Genomic DNA, 15287 nt, shown 5'->3' on the forward strand with positions numbered 1-15287 from the left:
ATGGATTCTGGCCAGTTCCTTCCTTGCTTGCTATGTGACCTCAGGAGGTCACTGGCCCTCTTTGGGCCTTGGATCCAAATTCTCCAAATGATTTGTCAGCTTCGAGTTTACAGGTAGGGAGTGGTGGTAGCAGTGAGGGGCTGCTTGGAGGAAGTGGCATTTGAACTGACAATCAGAGGGGGACAGCAACAGAGACTGACAGGAAACAGAAGGAAAGAGGGGGTCCGGAAGGGACATGTCCCTGTCCCCGGATGTTGGGTTTCCTTCCAGTGGTCAGAGGTGGCAGGAGGCAGTTTCAAAAGGAATCAAAATGCTTACAAATCACAACCTGGGAAATGGTGCCCTTCCCTAAAACACTTTCACATCCTTCTTCTCAAAGGGCTCTGTGATGCCACCAGGGCAAGATGATGTGCCTATTTGACCTACGACTGAACTGACAAGGCCTGAGAAATTGGGGTTCCATTCCACATGGTGGGACGCAGGGAACTGGCTCTCAGTCGAAGGGGCCAGGTTTATTTGAGGGAGGACTGGCCCAGGAAGGAGACATTGAGCTCCTGCCTGGGACACCCCTTCTTTTAATGCTGCTCTCAATGATTTGGTTCAAAAGCCACCTCTTCCTGAAAGTCCTCCTTGGTTTCTCTTAAACTCAGACTCCACGTGTGTTCTCCGGCTTGTGGCCGATGACTGCCTCTGTCACTGTGGCCAGCTGCCGCGCCACGCAGGATGAGGTTCTGTCTGTGTCTGTGAGCACCCAGCTCTGCCACAGGGCCGGCTGGCCATAGGGAGGGCCAAGCCTTCTGGCAAGTCTACAAGTGCCAGGGCCACAGGTTCCCTGCCAGGCACTATAGTCCTGACCAGGCAGGGAAAGCCCCTGGCCTCGGGAGCATTTTTGGGCAAGTCATTTAACTCCATGGGCCTCAGGTTCTCCATCTGTGCAATGGGTCAACAGCAGTGCCCACTTCAGAGGGTTGGAGTGGGAATCAATGCAGATGCAGGGGTGGGATGGGTCAACACAGAGGCTGGCAGATAGTAGCCGCTCAGCTAATAGAGAGCTTAGGGGGTCAGATTTGCTCCATCCTTGCCAGGGCGGGGCAATACCGAGTCCTTGTCCCCAGCAGAAACCGTGGTCCCTTTGCTGTTCCAGATGCTCTGGACCCTGGGTACTGGCTCCCCCTGGCGGTCATGATAGGAAGCGCCCTTCCCCTCTGGCTCCTGTAGAGGGCGTCGCGGATGCATTGATCCTTTAGTTCCTTCACTGTCCATCCCCACAGCCTTTATCCAGCAACCTCTGTACAGCCAGGGCCTGCCCACAGAGATGGATCAGGTGCTCCCTGGCTGACCAAGGAGGAGGGAATGCACGTCTCCCACTACCTGGAGGAGGCTACTGGGGGTGGGGAGGGGCTTTGGCCAGTGGTGTGAACCAAAGGAGGCTGGGACTGACTCTGGAGGGAGTTGAGGAGGGCTTCCTGGAGGAGGTGTCCTCTGAGCTAGGTCTCAGGAATGATGATAGGGAGGTAGCTGGGGAGAACTCTGGGAGCCCCCTTTTTTCTGTGTTCCCTCCGGGCCTGGAGGGGCAAGGTGGTGACGGTTCCAGGTAGAACCCTCATGCCAGATTCTAGATAAGATAATCCCGTCACTCTGGGTTCAGGAGGGAGGTACTACGATTAGCCCGATTTTGAGTGACTTACACAAGGTCCTGCAGCGGGCAAAAGGTGGAACTGAGACTGGAACTCAGCTGGACTCTGGACAGCCACTCCCCCGCCTTTTTTTTTTTAAAGCAGGGTCTCACTCTGTCACCCAGGCTGGAGTGCAGTGGCGCAGTTATAGCTCACTGCAGCCTCGACCTCCTGGGCTCAAGTGATCCTTCCACCTCAGCCTCCCTAGTAGCTGGGACCACAGGCATACACCGCCATGCCTGGCTAATTTTGTTTATTTATTGTAGAGATAGGGTCTCACTGTGTTGCCCAGGCTGGTCTGAATTCCTGTGCTCAAGCGATCCTCCTTTCTCAGCCTCCCAAAGCGCTGGGATTACAGACATAAGTCACCACGCCTGGCCTCACTGCCTCTTGGGGAGCGGCCTCTGGCCGCTCTGGGGAGGTCCATGGGCTTTTTCCACACTTGCTTCCCCACCTCACCTCCCACATCCATGCCACACTGGCCTCCTCTTCTGCAGGGCCAGCCCAACCACCACACAGTCCACACTCCCAGCTAACACTCCTGGTCTCTTCCAGGTGGTGACTTCCAAGAGTGACTCCGTCGGAGGAAAATGACTCCCCAGTCGCTGCTGCAGACGACACTGTTCCTGCTGAGTCTGCTCTTCCTGGTCCAAGGCAGGTCTTCCCAGGGGTGCCCTGGGCTGTTGGAACTTACGTTAAAATGCCCCTGTGCCTAGGGTGGCTGCCAGCACACATGCTAACTCCTTTAGGCAGTTACAGCTCGGCTAGTGGAGGGTACCTTGGAGAAAAGCAAAAGACACTCCTTCCTTCTGGCAGGTGCAGCCCTGCAGTGCACAGCTTAGGGTATGGAATATGGATGGGGTACTGGCCCCACTCACCTCTGCAGCCAGAGCATTCTTGTGCAGTGTACCACCTGCACAACCGTCTATGTCAGCCATGGCCTCATTAAATACTTCATTGCTGTTAAAAATATGTTTTCCCCTTGAAATTACTATTCGTTTTCAGTTTCCTCTTTTTTTTTTTTTTTTTGAGACGGAGTCTTGCTCTGTCGCCCAGGCTGGAGTGCAGTGGCGGGATCTCGGCTCACTGCAAGCTCCGCCTCCCGGGTTCACGCCATTCTCCTGCCTCAGCCTCCCAAGTAGCTGGGACTACAGGCGCCCGCCACTATGCCCGGCTAATTTTTTGTATTTTTAGTAGAGACGGGGTTTCACCGTTTTAGCCGGGATGGTCTCGATCTCCTGACCTCGTGATCCGCCCGCCTCAGCCTCCCAAAGTGCTGGGATTACAGGCGTGAGCCACCGCGCCCGGCCTCAGTTTCCTCTTTTTATAGTTTGATGCTGATAAGTTTTGAGTGGGAAAGACTAACACATTTTTGTAGACCCTTGGAATGTGTGTGAATCTCAGGCTCCAGGTTCACATGTACTCAGCCTAGGTCCTGTCCCCTTCCATGCCTCTGGTCAGCCCCTGCCACGGGGTCCCATCTGCAGCCTCTGCCTCCTCAGGTGCCCACGGCAGGGGCCACAGGGAAGACTTTCGCTTCTGCAGCCAGCGGAACCAGACACACAGGAGCAGCCTCCACTACAAACCCACACCAGACCTGCGCATCTCCATCGAGAACTCCGAAGAGGCCCTCACAGTCCATGCCCCTTTCCCTGCAGCCCACCCTGCTTCCCGATCCTTCCCTGACCCCAGGGGCCTCTACCACTTCTGCCTCTACTGGAACCGACATGCTGGGAGATTACATCTTCTCTATGGCAAGCGTGACTTCTTGCTGAGTGACAAAGCCTCTAGCCTCCTCTGCTTCCAGCACCAGGAGGAGAGCCTGGCTCAGGGCCCCCCGCTGTTAGCCACTTCTGTCACCTCCTGGTGGAGCCCTCAGAACATCAGCCTGCCCAGTGCCGCCAGCTTCACCTTCTCCTTCCACAGTAAGGCAACTTCCAGGCGGAGGGAACAACTGGGCAGTGGTCTAGAGGCAGGGAAGGCAAAATGCAAAGTGGACTGGGCTCACAATATCAGATCATGAAGACTGGGCTTTGCTCACAGGCACTGGGGAGCCAGTGAAGGTGTCTGAGGAGGGGAGGAGTGTAATCCAAGTGCTAGGATTACAGGCATGAACCACTGCGCTCGGCCCCACTGTCCCTTGATGGTTACTTTGTGGGCAGGCAGGGGTGAGGATGGAAGGGCAAGGGCCCGTCCTGAGGCTGCAGAGAAGGTCTTGGTGAAGGAGGATGAGGTCTGAATAGGGTGAGAGAGCAGAGACTGGAAAGGGACTGAAGATCAAGAGCCCCAGGAAGAATTCTTCCTCAGCATCAGTGTAGACTGTTTATTTCCTTTCACAGAGGAGGAAACTGGGGCACAGAGAGGATGCCCAAAGCTGCACAGCTAGCCAATGGGAGAGCCAGGATTTGAACCCAGCAGCTGATTGGAGTGGGGTAGGGGTGAGGGGCGGAGTATGAGAGGTCAAAGGTCAGGAAAGCAGTGGGGTTGACTCTGAGGTCCAGAAGCTGCATCTTCCCCCTTGAGTGTGACAGGTACATGTGGCCACTGCCATTCAGCACCATTAAATGCTGAATGGTGGCCAGGAAGGGAGGAGCATCAGAAGGAGCTTGAAGGTTTACTGGGGGGTTTTCATGTCTTTCCAGCACCTCAAGTTTGAGGCAGGGCTTTCAGGGGTGGGGGGCACAGCACTTTGATTGTGTCAGTGTAACAGGCTAATGATTATGTCCAGTGCAACAGGCAGGCCCAGGCCCGTCAGTGGTGGGGGGTTCCCCACACCCCAGGCTGGGATTCTGCCCCGCAACCTGGGAGGATTTAGGGCAAAGTTGATCCTAGTTGCAAATTGGCATTCTGAAGACCAGACTGAACTTGGTCTTGTTTGGCCTGTAGAGGGTTTTTAAAAAACATGGACCAGGGATTTCAAATCACCTAAAACCCAGGCTTTCTCGGTTATGCATTCAAAAGATGGAGCTACCCAGGGCCTGCCTTCCTCAGTGGCACAGAAAGTATACCCTCCAACCCCCACTGTTTGTCTTCCTCATCTGAGTCCCAGCTAATCCCTGGAGACACCTTAGTCGGCCGCCTTAGTAGGCCGCCCACGCTACCTGGGCAGAGGGGCCCGAGCCTGGAGTCAGGGAGGCTGGTGGGTGTGGAGTCCCAGGAACCACCACCAAGCCCCGCACATCCCTCCTAAGGAGGCCTGGCTGGGCCCTCTCTGCTCCGTGTGTGTAGCCGAAGGTGTCTGCGGAGGGTGCTGAGCAAGGCACATCCCACCCCATCCCGCTGGGGCTGGCATTGCTGGCGGGTTCTGTAAGACACAACCCCCACGGGTTGGCCTCATCTGAGTGGCCTTGGCAGAGTCCACTCTGCTTCTTGAAGCCTCAGTTTCCCCTTTGTAAAGTAAAGATCGAGGCATTCAGAGTCATGTCAGGGTGGTAGGGGGCAGAATGGGAGGGTCCTGGGACCTGAATCGGCAGCCTCGGCGGGGGCCTGTCCACCCCTCCCCCAGGTCCTCCCCACACGGCCGCTCACAATGCCTCGGTGGACATGTGCGAGCTCAAAAGGGACCTCCAGCTGCTCAGCCAGTTCCTGAAGCATCCCCAGAAGGCCTCAAGGAGGCCCTCGGCTGCCCCCGCCAGCCAGTAAGTTTGGCACCTGGGGCTGTGAGGGGAGGCAGGAAGGCATCAGAGATCTGGACCTGGGCAGGGTGGGACCTGGAGTAGGGGCTACTGCGAGGCCTTCCCTGGGACTGGAATGCTTCTTTGATTTCTCTTTCTGCCTTCTGGGAGTCAACACATGCCCCCCAGGCTGAGCCCTCTCCTGTCTGAGTCAGTAACCAACATCACATCCACCATCCCAAGCCCTCCTCCCCCTCATAAAGAAAGGATGGGTGGTCCACAGTACAGCCCAGCAGACCAAGGCTCAGAGACGGCAGAGCCGCTCCAAGGCCACAGAGTAGGTTGGCACAGGCGGAGCTGGGCCCAAACCCATGGTGCTGAGTCCCAGGACAGCCCCCACCACACCATTGCTCTCCTTTCCCTTGGCTCCCAGGTCCTGGCCTCCTCTGTCTGACCCTACCCCAGCTCATTCTTTCTCTCCCACACGCAGATGCCTGCTTTTCTCTTTTGTCTGCTCTCCACTCTCTCTTGCCCACCCCACCCCTCTCTCTGCCTCTGCCTCTGCCTCTGCCTCTTCCCTGTGTCTCTGTCTGAGTCTCTCGTCCTCCTGCCTCAGTCTCCCTGGTGGCCCGGCCCCCTCCCCACCATCACCACCGCTTTCTCCTCCCTGCCAGGCAGTTGCAGAGCCTGGAGTCGAAACTGACCTCTGTGAGATTCATGGGGGACATGGTGTCCTTCGAGGAGGACCGGATCAACGCCACGGTGTGGAAGCTCCAGCCCACAGCCGGCCTCCAGGACCTGCACATCCACTCCCGGCAGGAGGTCAGGGGCAGGCCTGGGCAGGAAGCAGATGCGGGTTGGGCCGGGGCCAGATGGAGGTGGGGGCTGTGAGCACTCCCTGAAGCTCAGTGCCGTCGCAGCCTCTCCCTGGGGCCTCCCGAGAAGGTTCCAGGCCCGAGGATAGCCATCCTAAGTCAGTAGTTCAACCGTGGGATTGAGGACCCTGTGTGGGCACAGTGGCAGGGTCTGCTTCCTATACCAGTCTCCTGGGGCCACCCGTGTGAACAGAAGACCAGCCCCTAAACGCCTGTCCACGCACCCCCCCCCCCCGTTTTTTTTTTTTCGAGACAGGGTCTTGCTTTGTCACCCAGACTGGAGTACAGTGGGGTAATCATGTCTCACTGCAGCCTCAAACTCCTGGTCTCAAGCGATTCTCCCACTTCAGCCTGTGAGCAGCTGGGACTGCAGGCTTGCTACCACACCTGGCTTTAAAAAATTCTTTGCAAGGCTAGGTGCAGTGGCTCACATCTGTAATCCCAGCATTTTGGGAGGCCGAGGCAGGCAGATCACTTGAGGTCAGGAGTTCGAGACCAGCCTGGCCAACATGGTGAAACCCTGTCTCTACTAAAAATATAAAAATTAGCCGGGCATGGTAGTACATGCCTGTAATTCCAGCTACTCGGGAGGTTGAGGCAGGAGAATCGCTTGAACCCGGGAGGCGGAGGTTGCAGTGAGCTGAGATTGTGCCACTACACTCCAGCCTGGGCAACAGAGCGAGACTCTGTCTCAAAAAACATTTTTTTATTTTTGTAAAGACAAGGTCTTGCTACGTTGTCCAGGTTGGTCTTGACCTCCGGGGTTCAAGCAGTCCTCTCGCCCTGGCCTCTCAAAGTGCTGGGATTACAGGCGTGAGCCACTGCACCCAGCCACACACCCCATCTTGAGACTGCCCCCTGAGTGGCTCTGGTTAGCTGGGAACCACCCACACTGCCCACATGGCCACCCCCAAGTTGGCTGCTGTAGGCAGAGCTGGCATCTGAAGCCCCAGACAACAGAACATCATGTGGTTCTCCCAGGGCTATTTGCCCTGGAGTCCTGGATTCTAACCACAAGACTCCCCAGCCAGAGCTGGTAGCAGGGAAGGGAGGGATGAGGAGGGCTGTCATGAGTCAGGCTTGACTTCCTGAAGAAATGGGCTTAGAAGTGGCAGCGTCCAGGAACGGATGGGTGTGTGTGTGTGTGTGCTAGGGTGGGGGGCACGGATCTAGGGGTCCGCATTTGGCTGAGCCCTAAAGGGACCTCTGCAGGAGGAGCAGAGCGAGATCATGGAGTACTCGGTGCTGCTGCCTCGAACACTCTTCCAGAGGACGAAAGGCCGGAGCGGGGAGGCTGAGAAGAGACTCCTCCTGGTGGACTTCAGCAGCCAAGCCCTGTTCCAGGTATGGGGTCCTCACCCTCATGCCTCCCAGGAGAAAGCAGTTTTTTTCTGACAGAGGTGGAAAGAAGGCACGCAGATGAGCTCCTTCCTCTGGGAGTCAAAGCCTTTCCTTGTAAAGTTACAAATTGCACTGCAATGTGCAAATCTCCCTGTGAGAGGGCTAAGCAATGTTCTTCTTACTATAGTGTAAATGACTACATGGGCAAAAGTGGTTCCAGAGGGAGACGCAGCATCTCAAGGCAATGTGCTGGGAGAGGGTTATCTAGAGAGGGTAAGGGGCTTCTGGGCCCTTCTTCTCAGTCCTGAACTCCCTCCCTACTCTCTTCCTCCAACCCCATGTATCTAGGACAAGAATTCCAGCCAAGTCCTGGGTGAGAAGGTCTTGGGGATTGTGGTACAGAACACCAAAGTAGCCAACCTCACGGAGCCCGTGGTGCTCACTTTCCAGCACCAGCTACAGCCGGTGAGTGGGGGCCAGCCATCAAGAGAACAAGCGCCCCTCGGCCATGTCACCCTTTCCTCTCCCTCCCTCCAGACTCATTTGTCTTTATAATGAAACGATTGCCTGATCGAGCAGTCAGGTCCAAATGGGGCGGGTGGTGGCTTGACTGTGTTCTAGACTTCCTCTGCCTGGCCTGTAAAGTTGGAGGGGTGGGGGGCTGTCACAGAAACCACTCTCCTTTCTTGTCCCTACAGAAGAATGTGACTCTGCAATGTGTGTTCTGGGTTGAAGACCCCACATGTGAGTATGCAGGGGTCTCTGGGCTGGACAAGTATCTGGAAGAGAAATAGAGTCCTGGGGGGTGGGGGAGGTGGGGTTAATCACCGAGGGCTTCCTGGAGAAAGGAGGACTTTGAAGAGAGAGCGATGGCAGGCTATGAGTAGGCCGGGTGGAAGAATGACACAGTCGTGCTTTTGGGGGTGGACACAGTGGGGTCCTGGAGGACTGGACTTGATTGGAGCCCCGTGCTGTCCCCTCCTCAGTGAGCAGCCCGGGGCATTGGAGCAGTGCTGGGTGTGAGACCGTCAGGAGAGAAACCCAAACATCCTGCTTCTGCAACCACTTGACCTACTTTGCAGTGCTGATGGTGAGGGTCCCTGCTCCCACCTCGCAGCCACACCCCAGGCCGTGTGCTTGTTCTGTGCAAGCACTTTTCATATATTCAGTCATTTATTCCTCATAACAGCTCTCCAAGGTAGCTTCTATTGTTGTCCCATTTTATAGATGAGGAAATGGAGGCTCAGAGAGGTTAAGCAATTTACCCGTGGCCACACAGCTAGTCAGTGAAAGAGCTGGTTTGTAGAGCCCCTGCTCTTTATTCCCAAATTTTGGTGTGTACGAAAATGCAGATTCCTGGCCCTCACCTAGGGTTCTGATTTGGCAGTGATGGGGCCAAGAGTGTTTCTAATGAGGCCCCTGAGGTGGCCTCCAGTGCCCCCAAGACCTCAGAATTCATGCTCCCAGGACTGTAGGATTCTGCCTGTGGGTATCCACCTGGGGCTTGAACACCCCTGGGTGTGGGAATCTCATTCCCTCACAGGAAACCTATTCCCATGTTAAATGTTATAGAAGAATAATCAATGCCAGGACAGAATAGGGGTTCTCTCATGAAGGGTTCTTGGCCTCTGTGGGTCAGGAAGCCGCTTGAGAATGTGGTCAAATCTAAAGATGCCCCCACTCCAGAAAAATGCACTTATGGGACCACATTCTGCTCAGTTGGGAGAGGGGGTTCTTAGGCTTCCGAGGCCCACCAGGGACCCCAGGTTAGCCCCTCACGCAGGGCAAGCCTCCAGGTTGTGTGGGGGACACAGAGGCCAGCTCTCTCCTGTCTCCTGGGGCCAGGTCTCCTCGGTGGAGGTGGACGCCGTGCACAAGCACTACCTGAGCCTCCTCTCCTACGTGGGCTGTGTCGTCTCTGCCCTGGCCTGCCTTGTCACCATTGCCGCCTACCTCTGCTCCAGGTGAGGCCTGAAAGGGGTGGGACAGGGGAGGGGACCCTCCATTGCACACACCTCCACCAGGGCGCCGCACACATCTCCGGTCATGGCCCGCCCGCATGACCTGGAACTGTGTGTGTGGTTAGGGGAGCTGTTTGGGGTAAGCTGACCCTTGGGGGCCACGTCTCCTCCTCAGATCAGTGGTGTTTGGATAACATAGTATTTACAAATTTTAGCTGTCGACATTGTATTTATTTATTTTTATTTTTATTTTATTATTATTATTTTTTTGAGACAGAGCCTTGCCTCTGTCGCCCAGGCTGGAGTGTAGTAGCATGATCTCGGCTCACTGCAACCTCTGCCTCCCGGGTTCAAGTGATTCTTGTGCCTCAGCCTCCTGAGTAGTTGGGACTACTGGCGCCTGCCACCACACCTGGCTAATCTGTATATTTTTAGTAGAGACGGGGTTTCACCATGTTGCTCAGGCTGGTCTCGAACTCCTGACCTCAAGTGATCCACCCACCTCAGCCCCCCGAAGCGCTGGGATTACAGGCATGAGTCACTGTGCCAGGCTAATTGTCAACATTTAAAATTGAGAGAGTCCACCTAAGAATCTGTTTCTTTCCTAGAGTAAGACAGGAAAGCAAAATAAAAAACTTAAAAAAGGAAAGATTTTTCATTTCTGCCTTTGAATAAGCAGATTTGTGAGAGCACTGGGTGGACACAATAATATCACAGCGGTAATGATCATACTTAACGTGTGTCAAACTTCCCGTGTGCCATGCACTGTTCTAAGTGTTTTACATGTGTGAACTCAATTCATCCTCACAACAGCCCTATGAAGGAACACTCAGAGAGGGTAAGTGACTTGCTTGAGGTCACACAGCAAGGAAGTGGCAGAGGTCAGATTGTCAGTGCTTGGCTTGGCCTAAATTGGGGTCCACTTGCCCTCAGCGCTGAACCCATTTGGGTAGAGGAGAGGCACCCTCGGTTCTCACTGTCCCCAGCCACGAGGAAGGAGAGGAAAGTGAAGCTGTATTTATGCGTGTGCACAAGCACGTGTGTGCCTATATGACTGTCCTGTGTGTGCACAGCTGTGTACCTGGGGAGCTAAGTAGGTGATGGTGATGAGGAAGGACAGCTGGGTGATGAGATGGGCTCGGCGGAAGGCTGGGGGTGGAGGCAGAAGTCCTCAACACCCAGTTGCTCACAAACATGCCCAAGGACACAGCACAGGAACCCTTAGGAACTGAGCACCTTATCTGTGTCAGATGCTTTGTGTCAGTGTAACTCTCACCCCAACCCTATGAGGGTACCATCCTCCCACTTCACAGATAGGCAAACTGAGAGTCTCAAGGGGAGGGGACCAGCTGAAGATGGTGCCATGAGTTAGGGGCAGGGCAGGGTGGGACTCCAGGATGGTGACACTGGGGCCTGCATGTTCTGCTGCACCCTCTAGGGCCATGTAGAATCCTGGAGTGGGGGTGGGGTGGGGTGTGCACACATTGACTTGCAAACCTCAGACAGACCGATGCGGGCAGCCCACACTCAGACTCACAGGTGCACAGTTGTGCAGACAGACGGGAAGACACAGAATGTGGATGGCATGGATTCTCCAACATGGTGAAAATGCCAAAGTGTTTCCGCTCTGACTTTGAGAGTATCTGGTTTATTACTGTGGTTGTCTTCCTCGCTCTGCCTGGCTGAGGCTTCTGTTAAACGTGCACGTGGTGCCTGAGTCTGTGGGTGCTGGGCACACAGTAGGTGCACAGGGGGATGTGGGGAACAGTTTGGCTGCAGCCACAGGAATAGGATAGGGGCCATGTATGACTGCATGTGTGTGTCGGGGTGGGGGGCAGTCTGGGAAGGCTTCCTGGAGGAGATGTGGGCACACTCCCCTCTCTACCTTCCCACACTGGCCCACCAGGGTGCCCCTGCCGTGCAGGAGGAAACCTCGGGACTACACCATCAAGGTGCACATGAACCTGCTGCTGGCCGTCTTCCTGCTGGACACGAGCTTCCTGCTCAGCGAGCCGGTGGCCCTGACAGGCTCTGAGGCTGGCTGCCGAGCCAGTGCCATCTTCCTGCACTTCTCCCTGCTCACCTGCCTTTCCTGGATGGGCCTCGAGGGGTACAACCTCTACCGACTCGTGGTGGAGGTCTTTGGCACCTATGTCCCTGGCTACCTACTCAAGCTGAGCGCCATGGGCTGGGGTAAGTGGTTGGGCGGGGGGTGCCTCAGACCTGCCTCTCCCACTTGGCTCTGGCAAAACCCAGGCACCTGGTTCTGCCTCTCCACCTATCTCTCTGACTTCCCTCCTGGCCTCCTTCACTCATCCTCAGGTGTCCTTCACCTTGGCTGAATCAAGGTCCCCTTTAGGAAGAAGCAGTGAGCCCTGTCCCCAAGAAACACTTCCAAATTCTCCACATCACTCACTCCATTGCAAAGGGGATTTACGAGCAGGGCCACCGTGTGTGAATGTGCAGGTTGTGCACTGCTCAAAGGCACCCAGTTCAGAGATCAGAGGGGCTGAAATCCAGTCCCGCTCCAGTCATTTAATTCACTCGGGCTGGCAGTGGCCCTGCCTCAGGATCCCCCTGGACCTTGGGTAACAGATTCCCTGTGGCTTGGCATTTTGTTCTTGGCCAATGACTGTTCAATTCACCTGTGGCCAGCCCTCTTATGTCAGACCTACAGCCCAGGGGCTCATGATGCCACAAGTCTGTTTGGACATTGCACAGACCCCTCAACCTCCGCATGCCCCTGACTCCAGCTTGCTGCTCTTCGCGGGTTTGTCATTGGGCCCCTTCTTTGTCCATTCCCCCATTTGCATGAAATTCCTTTGGAGGTGTCTCTGTGTCAGGACTTTGTGTTTGGAGGTGGGCAGCCCCCTCTAGGGAGCTTCTAATCTCCACCGAACGGGCGAGGTCAAGGCCCAGTGCAGACGTCCCCTGATGGCAGAACTCTTGCCGTCCCTCCTAAACTGTCTGCCCCTCCCATCTCCCCTGTGACATCCAGCCCTGCAGCAGAGACCCACAGGCCTTTCTCCCAGGGGCCCCCAGGGTGACGAAGGGCAGGGCTAAGGTTGGAGGAGATGGCATCCCCTTATAGGAAACCCATACTGGAATGGGGAGGGGGAGGGTCCAAACTTGGGGGAACTTCCCCACCAGATGGGGCTGGGTGGGCTTCAGGAGCCCAAACTTCAGAGGGGCCCTTGCCCTCCAGACTCCCTGAGGCCAGCAGGGAATGGGCAGGCCTCAGAGAGCGGGAAGTAGAGCAACATGCATTGCCACCCTCAGGCTTCCCCATCTTTCTGGTGACGCTGGTGGCCCTGGTGGATGTGGACAACTATGGCCCCATCATCTTGGCTGTGCATAGGACTCCAGAGGGCGTCATCTACCCTTCCATGTGAGTGGCTGTGTGCAATGGGGGCAAGAAGGTGGGTCTCTGGGCACAGAGGCCAGAGTGCAGCCCGGGCCCAGGTCATGCTGGCCAGGGGACACCTGGGTTCCAGTCTCCTCGAGGAATTGGCCTGGCAGTGGCTGAAGCACTGGTCTAAGAGTCATGGAGGGTGAGAAAAGGCCTGGATCTACCACTCACTCACCAGGTGACCTTGCACAGGCCCCGGCCCTTCTCTGAGCCTCGGTTTCCTCATGCATGAATGGGGGTATGGGTTGGAGCAGATGAGCCTCACCACATTCCTCAGCAGCACCTCTCTGTCTCCCCATGCAGATGGGAAGACAGAGGCTCAGGGAGGGAAGAGATCCGCTCTTGGCCACACTGAGGGCTGGTGTGCTGTTCGGAGGCAGAGGATGAGTGGGGTTGAAGTCCAGTCCTTCTCCACTCACCTGATTCACCCAGGCTGGCAGCGGCCCTGCCTGTGGATCCCCTGAACCCAAACCGGAAGCCAGGGTTCCTGAGCTCCAGCCTGGGAAGGAATCCTTCCCATTGGCTCAGTGGTTTTGAAATTTTCAGCTCTTTATGTTGTGACCCAGTGATTTCTGCCTCACTTTTGTACTATCTATATTATTACTTACTTAACATTTTCCTTTAAACAATCTGACTTGTTAACTCAAATGTATTTTTAAAATTACATCAACACTGTAAATAGAAAACAAGCGCACTTGCTGTAAACAGTGGATAATCCTGAAAACAAACATGACAACCACAGCCCAGGAAATGCTGCCCGTGCTGGCCACACGCTGAGCCCTCCTGCCTTTGCCCGCAGGTGCTGGATCCGGGACTCCCTGGTCAGCTACATCACCAACCTGGGCCTCTTCAGCCTGGTGTTTCTGTTCAACATGGCCATGCTAGCCACCATGGTGGTGCAGATCCTGCGGCTGCGCCCCCACACCCAAAAGTGGTCACATGTGCTGACACTGCTGGGCCTCAGCCTGGTCCTTGGCCTGCCCTGGGCCTTGATCTTCTTCTCCTTTGCTTCTGGCACCTTCCAGCTTGTCGTCCTCTACCTTTTCAGCATCATCACCTCCTTCCAAGGTAAGGAGAAGACCCGTCCCTTGGCCCAGGCAGGGTGTCTACACATGGAGCAAGGGCAGGGAAGAGATCACCCAGGGAACCTGAAGACTTCCCTTCTCTGGGCCTCAGTCATCCCATTCATAAAATGGGGACATCCAGGCCACAGTCAACAAGTCTTGATTGAGCACCTACTATGTGCAGGCCCTGTGTTAAGCCACAGGGCTTATGGCTGAGCTGGTTGGGTGTGGGCCTTGTTCTTTTGGAACTCAGCTCTACTGGGGAAGACTGCGCATGAGCAGGCAAGCATATAGCCATCAAAGGTGGTCCCAGATAGTAGGGACATCGTCGTGAGCACGTGCTGCACAGGGCCTCGGCTGGGGTGGGGGACACCCTAAGAAGGGTGGCCAGGGAGGCCTCTCTGGATATGAGACGTGTGAAGACAAGAGAAGGATCCCCCCATGGAGAGATGGGGGGGCCTCCCTACTCCAGGCGCGGTCCACAGACCAGCAGCAGCAGCGTTGTTAGGAGCTTTTTGGAAACGCAGCCTCTGGGCCACCCGGGCCCTGCCACATCAGAATCTGCATTTTCACAAATGCCCAAGGGGTCACGTGCACATGATAGGATCAGGAGCCCTGGTCTAGGGGAAGGAAGCTCCAGGCAGAGGGAGAGGCAAGAACAAAGATCCTGAGGTTGGAACCGGTTGTGTGTAGGAAGGACAGTGAGGGAGAGCGTGGCCAGATGGCGGCGGGTCGGGGCGGAGAGGTGGGATCCCAGGGCAGGGTCATGATGGCTCTGGCTTGATGCCAACAGGGTCCCTTTCTGTGCATGTACCTGTGTGTGTACATTGAGGTGCACACACAGGCATGCACACCCCTCTGTTCCTGGCCGTGCAGAATGGAAGGGGGTTGTATGGCCAGGCCCAGGGGCTCTCATGGGGTTCAAGGCCAGCCTCCCATACAGGGTCACCCTAGAATGGGAGCTGGGAGTTGGTGGTGGGGAGATGTTACCACATTTCGGTTATTTAACATTCAAGCCTTCATTCCTGCCTGTGAGATGAGGGGACTCAGGATTGTAAGTGAGGCCCATACATTCACACAGACATTTACTAAGCTGTGGATACATCATAGTGCTATTAATTTGAGGGGTGCAAAATCTCACAGTGCTTAAGTGGGTGGACTTCAGAGCCTGTTCACCACAGTTTGAGCCCTGGCTCAGCCACGTCCCTTTACCTGAGCCTCCTGGGCCTCAGTTTCCTTGTTTACAAAAGAGAATAGTAATGAATAGGATGGGCCTAGGAAGTTTGTGACAGTGAGAGGCCACACGGGGACGCAGCACAGTGCCCGGCTCATAGGAGGTGCTCGCTG

At 55.7% G+C, this 15287-nt stretch overlaps 1 protein-coding gene across 62 annotated transcripts in view, besides 3 other annotated features; it reads left to right on the top strand.

The window, feature by feature from the left end:
• ADGRG1 (adhesion G protein-coupled receptor G1) overlaps positions 1-15287 on the top strand; it is a 45830-nt gene that overhangs the window by 28284 nt on the left and 2259 nt on the right. For 17 of the 62 annotated variants that reach the window (NM_001370440.1, NM_001370436.1, NM_001370438.1 and 14 more), the window contains 12 exons: positions 2232-2330; positions 3179-3601; positions 5182-5314; positions 5965-6112; positions 7378-7509; positions 7855-7971; positions 8205-8250; positions 8493-8596; positions 9352-9470; positions 11392-11660; positions 12747-12855; positions 13676-13944. In NM_001370440.1, coding sequence (NP_001357369.1) covers positions 2267-2330; positions 3179-3601; positions 5182-5314; positions 5965-6112; positions 7378-7509; positions 7855-7971; positions 8205-8250; positions 8493-8596; positions 9352-9470; positions 11392-11660; positions 12747-12855; positions 13676-13944 — 1933 coding nt within the window. In that variant the 5' untranslated portion in view covers positions 2232-2266. Of the gene's footprint in view, positions 1-2231; positions 2331-3137; positions 3602-5181; positions 5315-5964; positions 6113-7377; positions 7510-7854; positions 7972-8204; positions 8251-8492; positions 8597-9351; positions 9471-11373; positions 11661-12746; positions 12856-13675; positions 13945-15287 lie in introns of all 62 variants that reach the window. The other 45 variants (NM_001370428.1, NM_001370430.1, NM_001370431.1 and 42 more) reach the window with 11 other exon arrangements.
• Positions 3183-3583: a silencer, noted in NCBI's record as "fragment chr16:57685116-57685516 (GRCh37/hg19 assembly coordinates)". NCBI's record gives its function as "represses an EF-1alpha promoter that drives an FKBP-Casp9 reporter gene in an ReSE screen in HepG2 liver carcinoma cells {active_cell/tissue: HepG2}" and the evidence as "EXISTENCE:reporter gene assay evidence [ECO:0000049][PMID:32094911]".
• Positions 10989-11987: an enhancer, noted in NCBI's record as "H3K4me1 hESC enhancer chr16:57692922-57693920 (GRCh37/hg19 assembly coordinates)". NCBI's record gives its function as "activates a minimal SCP1, AML or CMV promoter by ChIP-STARR-seq in naive H9 embryonic stem cells {active_cell/tissue: H9 hESC(naive)}" and the evidence as "EXISTENCE:reporter gene assay evidence [ECO:0000049][PMID:30033119]".
• Positions 11988-12986: an enhancer, noted in NCBI's record as "H3K4me1 hESC enhancer chr16:57693921-57694919 (GRCh37/hg19 assembly coordinates)". NCBI's record gives its function as "activates a minimal SCP1, AML or CMV promoter by ChIP-STARR-seq in naive H9 embryonic stem cells {active_cell/tissue: H9 hESC(naive)}" and the evidence as "EXISTENCE:reporter gene assay evidence [ECO:0000049][PMID:30033119]".

This window comes from Homo sapiens, chromosome 16 (genome assembly GCF_000001405.40).
Source record: "Homo sapiens chromosome 16, GRCh38.p14 Primary Assembly".
Classification (NCBI taxonomy): domain Eukaryota; kingdom Metazoa; phylum Chordata; class Mammalia; order Primates; family Hominidae; genus Homo; species Homo sapiens.